The following is a 7,327-nucleotide window of genomic DNA, read 5'->3' on the forward strand; positions in this document are numbered from 1 at the left end:
AGTATTTCCTCACTAAAATACCAAGGATAATTTTATTTAAATCAACAAAGCACTAAATTTTCTTTTTTCTTTTTTGAGATGCTCACTCTGTCGCCCAGGCTGGAGTGCAGTGGCACGATCTCGGCTCACTGCAAGCTCCACCTCCTGGGTTCACGCCATTCTCCTGCTTCAGCCTCCCAAGTAGCTGGGACTATAGGCGCCTGACACCATGCCTGGCTAATTTTTTGTATTTTTAGTAGAGACGGGGTTTCACCATGTTAGCCAGGATGGTCTTGATCTCCTGACCTCGTGATCCACCCGCCTTGGCCTCCCAAAGTGCTGGGATTACAGGTGTGAGCCACCACACCCGGCCTAAATTTTCTTTAAAAAAAAAAAATTATTGTATTTATGGCTGGGCACTGTGGCTCATGCCTGTAATTTTAGCACTTTGGGAGACTGAGGCAGGCGGATCACTTGAGGCCAGGAGTTTGAGACCAGCCTGGGCAACATGGCAAAATCCCATCCCTAATAAAAATACAAAAAAAAATTAGCTGAGCATGGTGGCACATGCCTGTAGTCCCAGCTACTTGGGAGGCTGAGGTGGGAGGATCACTTGAACCCGGGAGGCAGAGGTTGCAGTGAGCCAAGGTCGTGCCACTACTCTCCAGCCTGCACAACAGAAAGGACTCCATCTCCAAAAAAAAAAAAAAAAAAAGTATTTATTTATTTTTCATTTATTCCAGGCAGAAGAAACAGCAAATGCATAGGTCCTGAGGCAGGCATGCATTTGGCATGTTGGAAAACATGTGGCACTGGCCAGACCAAGCAAGGCCTTGGAGAACATGAAGAGCAGTCTGGCTTTTGCTCCAGTTGCCACAGAAGTCACTGGAAGAGGCCTCCTCTGAGATAAGACACTAAGAAAGCAGTGTCAGGCCAGTTAGACAGGTCTGGACTTGTCTTCTGGAGTCAAATGCAGGCGGCAGACATTTAAATGGCCAGTCACAGAGAGGGTGATGGGGGCCATGATGGGTGACCCACAGGGCCGTGAGAGCACAGAGGAGGGACCCTGCCCCATCCTGAGGGCCCAAGGGTCCTTCCCAGGGGAAGAGAGAGCTCAGCTGAGACCTGAAGGCTGCAGCAGAGTTAGCCAGCTTGAAAGAGAACGACAAGGGATGGGATGGGAAGTGGATTCCAGGCAGAGGAAGAAGCAACTGCAAACGCCTGAGAAGAGAAAGCCTGGAGCATTTGGGGGACCAGAAGGGGGTTAATGTGGCTGGATTGTAGATGCAAACAGGGGTTGGCCTGGGGGGCAGGCGGCAGCGGCTAGGAGGGCTCTGCTTTTCTCACTTGATATACTGTGAACATTTTTCTATGTCAGAAAGGATCCTTCTGCTATAGGATTTTTAAGGGCTGAGCATTACGTCGTGGAATAACTGGTTCTCCAGTGTCAGACATTTAGGTTCTTTCTAGTTTTTCCCTCTTAGAAACAATGCTATGTTGAACATCTTTGTCTGTGCATCTTTGTGCACACGTATTATTATTTCTGTGCGGTAAAGTTGGGAAGTCTCGGAGGCTACTTGGTGGACAGGATTGAGAGCTGCCTTGGAGAGGCCTGAGTCAGATCTGTTTGCCAGATCAGCCTCCACTGGGTTTCTACTGGAGGGGCCATACACAGGGAGATGCAGGGAGAAGGCCTGAGGGAGAGATAGAGAGCCCTGATTGTGAGCTGTGGCTGCCCAGGCCAGATAATGGCAGGGGAGAGAGGAGGCCCCGATCCTGGGCCCCTGTCTGTGCTGTCGGCCTGGTGCGTTAGCTCCTGGTGCCTTCTAAAGAGGCAACAAAAGTACTTCAAATTGAGCATGAGCTTGGGTTCAAATCACACCTCTACCGCTAAAAAACTAAGTGCCGTTGGGCCAGTTACTTAGTCATTCTGAATCTCAGCGTCCTTATCTGTAAAATGGGGAAAATAAGCCAATAGGGTTATTGTGAAAGATACATGAGATTAATGAGTCTTGGCGATAGTCCCTGCTCCCAGTAAATGACGGCGTGCATTTTTATTGTCATCTTGGGTCTCCATCCTTTTTAAAAAAATACTTGATTATAACAGCTTTATTGAGATAAAATTCACATGCCATACAATTCACCCATTTAAAGTGTACAATTCAGGCAGGGTGTGGTGGCTCATGCCTGTAATCCTGGCACTTTGGGAGGCCGAGGCGGGCAGATCACTTGAGGTCAGGAGTTCGAGACCAGCCTGGCCAACATGGTGAAACCCCATCTCTACAAAAAATACACAAATTAGCTGGGCATGGTGGTGGGCGCCTGTAATCCCAGCTACTCGGGAGACTGCGGCAGGAGGATCGCTTGAACCCGGGAGATGGAGGTTGCAGTGAGCCAAGGTCATGCCACTACACTCTAGCCTGGGCAACAGAGCAAGACTCTGTCTCAAAAACAACAACAACAGATAAAGTGTACAATTCAATAGTTTTTTATATATTTGTCACAATCAATTTTGGCACTTTTTCATTATCCCCCACAGAAACCCTGTACCTATCAGCAGTCAGTCCTGCAGCCGACCCCCCTCTGGCCCCAGGTAACTGCCAATTACTTTCTGTCTCTATGGATTTGCTCTTTCTAGATGTTTCATAGAAAAGAAGTCATGCAACATGGGGTCTTTTTTTTTTTCTTTTGAGACAGGGTCTCCTTCTCTTGCCCAGGCTGGAGTGCAACAGTGCAATCACAGCTCACTGCAGCCTCGAACTCCAGGGCTCACATGACCCTCCCTGCTCAGCCTCCCAAGTAGCTGGGACCACAGTGCACCGCCATGCCCAGCAAATTTTTAAAAAATTGTTTGTAGAGATGGGTTCTCCCTATGTTGCCCAGGCTAGTCTAGAACTCCTGGGCTCAAGTGATCCTCCCACCCTGGCCTCCCAAAGTGCTGGGATTACAGGCATGAGCCAGTGCGTCCAGGCCTGTGGTCTTTTATGACTGGCTTTGTTCACTTTTTTCATCCCTGTCAGCAATGTATGAGAGTTCTGATTTCTCTGATTCCTTACCAACACTTATTATTGTTTGTCTTTTTTATTGTAGCCATCCTCGTGGGGGTGTGTAGTGGGATCTCATTGTGGCTTTGATTTGCATGGCCTTGACGGTTAATGTTTCTGGTTTTTTTCAGTGGAATCCCCTTTATAAATTCTGGGACACCCTATTCCCAGTGTGGAAACACTAACCTGTTCCAAAGAAAGAAAAAAAATTCTAGATGGAAAAAGATGTTCATTACTGCGACATAACATTTCTTAATACAAGTGACTCGTCTATAGCAGTAGGTAGTTCCTAATTTTTTTTTTTTTTTGAGACAGAGTCTTACTTTGTCACAGGCTGGAGTGCAGTGGCATGATCTCAGCTCACTGCAACCTCTGCCTCCCGGGTTCAAGTGATTCTCCTCCCTCAGCCTCCCAAGTAGCTGGGACTACAGGAACATACCACCACTCCCGGCTAATTTTTGTATTTTTAGTAGAGATGGGGTTTCACAATGTGGAAACACTAGGCCACATTGTGAAATGTGGCCAGGATGGCCTCCATCTCCTGACCTCATGATCTGCCCACCTCGGCCTCCCAAAGTGCTGGGATTACAGGCGTGAGCCACCGCGCCTGGCCTATTATCTTTAATAATTATAAATACTGGGCTGGGCGTGGTGGCTCATGCCTGTAATCTCAGCACTTTGGGAAGCCAAGGTGGGCAGATCACTGGAGGTCAGGAGTTCAAGACCAGCCTGGCCAACATGGTGAAAACTCATCTCTATTAAAAATACAAAAATTACCCTGTCATGGTGGTGCATGCCTGTAATCCCAGCTACTCAGAAGGCTTAGGCAGGACAATCGCTTAAACCTGGGAGGCGGAGGTTGCAGTGAGCCGAGATTGAGCCACTGCACTCCGGCCCAGGCGAGAGAGTCAGACTCCATCTCAAAATAATAATAATAATTATAATAACTATAAAGACCAGCTATCATATGGAAAATGTCCCTGATGTGTGAACAAATGCAGGATGGAAAAATACTCAGTGTAGTCATTTTAGCTAATATATATTTGTTAAAACATCCAAATATTTTTTTCGAGCTCGGCGCTGTGTGCCAAGCTCCATGCTGGCTCATGGACAAAGTCAGGAAAAGAACAAGCAAAAATGAAATTCCTTCTTGTGTCGGGAGTGGTGGGGTTTTGGGGGACAGGTATCTCCCCTTCCCCATGTTTTCTTCTCAAACTTCCTCCACTGTTGTTATATTACCTTTGCAGTGATAAAACCAAGAGAACAGAAGAAATACTTCTGGACCTAAGGATGAAAGAATGATGGGAGAAACATTTCTTGAGCCAGTCCCTTTCTGCGTTCTTATTTTGTGGAATCCGCACACATCCCCGAGAAGCTTAATAAAAAGGGCTACTATCATGACACTTACTGTGTGCCTTGCCGGTTCCACCTGTTAGGTGCCATTGTTGTCCCCATTTTACAGATGAGGAAACTGAGGCGGGGCAAGGAGATGCCCTTCTGCTTGGTGGTCTATCCTTCAGCATTACCCACACACATGCAGAGCTACATATAAGCTCACGTTCACACTCGGATTCACGTCTGCACCCATGGGCACATGGAGGATCGCACAAGCCACACTCAGACACACATGTGTGCTCACACACAGGGCTGCCCATGTCCACAGGTATGTGCATGGGGACACGCATGTATATATGTGCATATTCCCATATGCACACAGCACAGGTCAAACACTTTTGGACACACATCTGCCTGAGAATGGGAAAAGGGGTGCAAGATAAAGGGGCAAAGTCTGGCTTTTGCCTCCTCCCTGCACCTGCTACCAGCTGTGTGCAGGACTGGGTGGGGCAGAAATAGGTGGCTCTGAGCTCAGAGGGCAGAGGTGGCCTTGCACTAGAAATCCACCTGCCAAACTTCCAAATGGGCTACAGCGACTAAGGGGCCTCACCTGCTGGGCAAATCCCCCAGCTGGAGGGTGTGCTCCAGATCCTCCAGGGGTCCCCAGGGGGTTGAGAAGATGAGGGGCACACCCAGCAGCCCCTAAGGGAGGAAGCGTGGCCATACTGGCTAAGGGGGCGCACTCTTCTTGCAGGCCGCCTGATCAGATGCCTGTAAAATAAGACAGCTTTACAAAGAGGGTGTCGGAATGTGAGGAGGCAGAGGGACAGGCATGAGTAGAAAGACCTTCCTCAGGACCTGAAGTCCAATGATCCTGGTCCTGCGTCCCACTAGCTAGGTGATATTGAACAAGTCACATAACCTCTTTGAACCTCAATTTCCTCATTTGTAAACTTTGCACAAATCATTTCTTTGACTGCTAAACAAGTATGTTTTGAGGACCAACGACATGCCAGGTACGGTGCTGGGCACTGGGAAAACAGCAGCAAGCAACACAGACATGGGCTTGCCGTGTAGAGCCTGCAGAATTAGGGAAAGGATAAATGGAAACATCTCACACATAGTAAGTGCTCAGTTACGTTCCTCCTGGTCTCTCTTTTCTACCATTGTAAAGGCGATGCAATAACATAGAAAGTTGGGAGAATGGGGTGGCGGTTGCTGAGGGGGGAACTCTGTCATCCAGAATCCCACCACCCCAACACAATGACTAGCTTCATTTTTGCCAATTTCATCAGCTCATGCAGGGGTTGACCTGCTGTAGGGCACTCAAAATATTCAAACCAATTAATGCATTGCATTTGTGATCAGAAGAAAAAAGCTAATTACAATGTAACAGATTTACCTGATGCAAAGCAACGCAAGCATGGCCATCCCTCTGCATATATGGAAGCTTTTCCTTTTGGGGGAAACAGCAATATTTCCATTTTACGGAAAAAGAAATGGAGGCACAGAGAGGTCAAGGCACTTGCCCAAGGTCACACAGACAGAAATGCGAAGAGCAGCTCCAGAGGCCAGAACTCCTGCCCATCCTGTCCAGGACTGTGGGATGCATCCAGGGACGGACACTGGGGCTGTGGGCTGGATGACTTGGCTGCCTTTGCATTGATTGGAGCTGTTTAGGGAACCTACCCCAGCCACTAGCATCCAGTCCTAGAGACACAGAAAATTCACTGGCCAGCCTCACTTTTGAGCCCAGAAACCCCTTACCCTTCCTCCTGCCTCTTGAGAGGCCAGTGTTAGGTGTTAGCCGGGGTGCAAAGCTCTGGAAGGCAGGTTTCTGCTTTCTGCTGCCCTCCAGTGGGCAAAGAAAGCAAACCTCTGGATCCATCTGGAAGCAGGTAGCAGGTGTTGCCCAAGTCAGCTGCGGCTAATAGTAATAATAATGGCTGCCGCTCAATGAGCACTTACCACGTGCAGACGTTTTTACACCTAATCTAATGTAACCTAACCCCTTTAAGCAATTTAATTAACATTTAATTCCTCTCTCAAGGTAGGAATCACTTCCTATATACCCATTTACATACATAATCTGAGACTTAGAAAAATGACTTCCCAAAGTCACAAAGCTGGTCAGTGGCAGAGCCGAGAGTGCAAGTCCTTGGAGATCAGAGGAGGAAGAGACCATGATCCTGGACCAGGAGACAGCCCTGCATTCTTGGGCACAGAGGTGAATTTACTGTGAGGCTGGTGACGCATCAGGGCTCCTGACTTGCATGTCCTCTCCCAGGGCCATGGAGGAACTTTCCAACGCATTCGCATGGGCATATGTTTCACATTTGCAAAACTAACACATTTCAGTTGCAATTGGCTGAGACCACTATCTCTCTCCACTGCCTAGAATAATGTCTTCACATAGTAGGTAATAAATATGTGCTAATAAATCCATTTTGTGTTTAATAAATCATGTTGAATGAATGGGTAGAGAAATGAAGGAAGGAAGGAAGTGGCATTTAGTTCAATCTTGAAGGAAGGGCAGGATTTGAGAGAGCGTTCCTCATGTAGCCTAGTGGGCCCCTCCACACACAGACCATCCAAGGCCATGAGTGGCCTTGAATGCCAGGGTGAGGAATCTGGCCTTAGGTGGTAGGCACTGGGGAGCCATGGAAGGTTGCAGAGCAGAGGAAGGATATGAGTGTAATTGTCAATTAGGCAAGAGTTGAATGTCAAATAAGAGGACAGGGCCCTACAGCGGGGGGCCAGAGTGGCTCAGATAAAACTCCCCTCATCCAGCACCACACAGAGAGCTGGTGCTCAGCCAGTGTGATCACAGAAGCCTCTGCTGGGGTGTCTATAAGCTCCCTGGAAGAAGATATCCAAATGCTTTGCATGTGTGGCTTTGTGTATGTGTGTGTGTGGGGGGGGGAGGGGAGGTGCTGAGTGTGGATTTGCTCAGCACTCTAGTGTGCCCA

General features: G+C 48.2%; 3 annotated features.

Annotated features, from left to right (window-relative positions):
• Positions 459–959: an enhancer, noted in NCBI's record as "H3K27ac hESC enhancer chr20:43306608-43307108 (GRCh37/hg19 assembly coordinates)". NCBI's record gives its function as "activates a minimal SCP1, AML or CMV promoter by ChIP-STARR-seq in primed H9 embryonic stem cells {active_cell/tissue: H9 hESC(primed)}" and the evidence as "EXISTENCE:reporter gene assay evidence [ECO:0000049][PMID:30033119]".
• Positions 960–1,460: an enhancer, noted in NCBI's record as "H3K27ac hESC enhancer chr20:43307109-43307609 (GRCh37/hg19 assembly coordinates)". NCBI's record gives its function as "activates a minimal SCP1, AML or CMV promoter by ChIP-STARR-seq in primed H9 embryonic stem cells {active_cell/tissue: H9 hESC(primed)}" and the evidence as "EXISTENCE:reporter gene assay evidence [ECO:0000049][PMID:30033119]".
• Positions 6,079–6,138: a silencer, noted in NCBI's record as "silent region_12945". NCBI's record gives its function as "represses an Ori minimal core promoter by ATAC-STARR-seq in GM12878 lymphoblastoid cells {active_cell/tissue: GM12878}" and the evidence as "EXISTENCE:reporter gene assay evidence [ECO:0000049][PMID:35858748]".

Source organism: Homo sapiens, chromosome 20, assembly GCF_000001405.40.
Source record: "Homo sapiens chromosome 20, GRCh38.p14 Primary Assembly".
Lineage (NCBI taxonomy): Eukaryota > Metazoa > Chordata > Mammalia > Primates > Hominidae > Homo > Homo sapiens.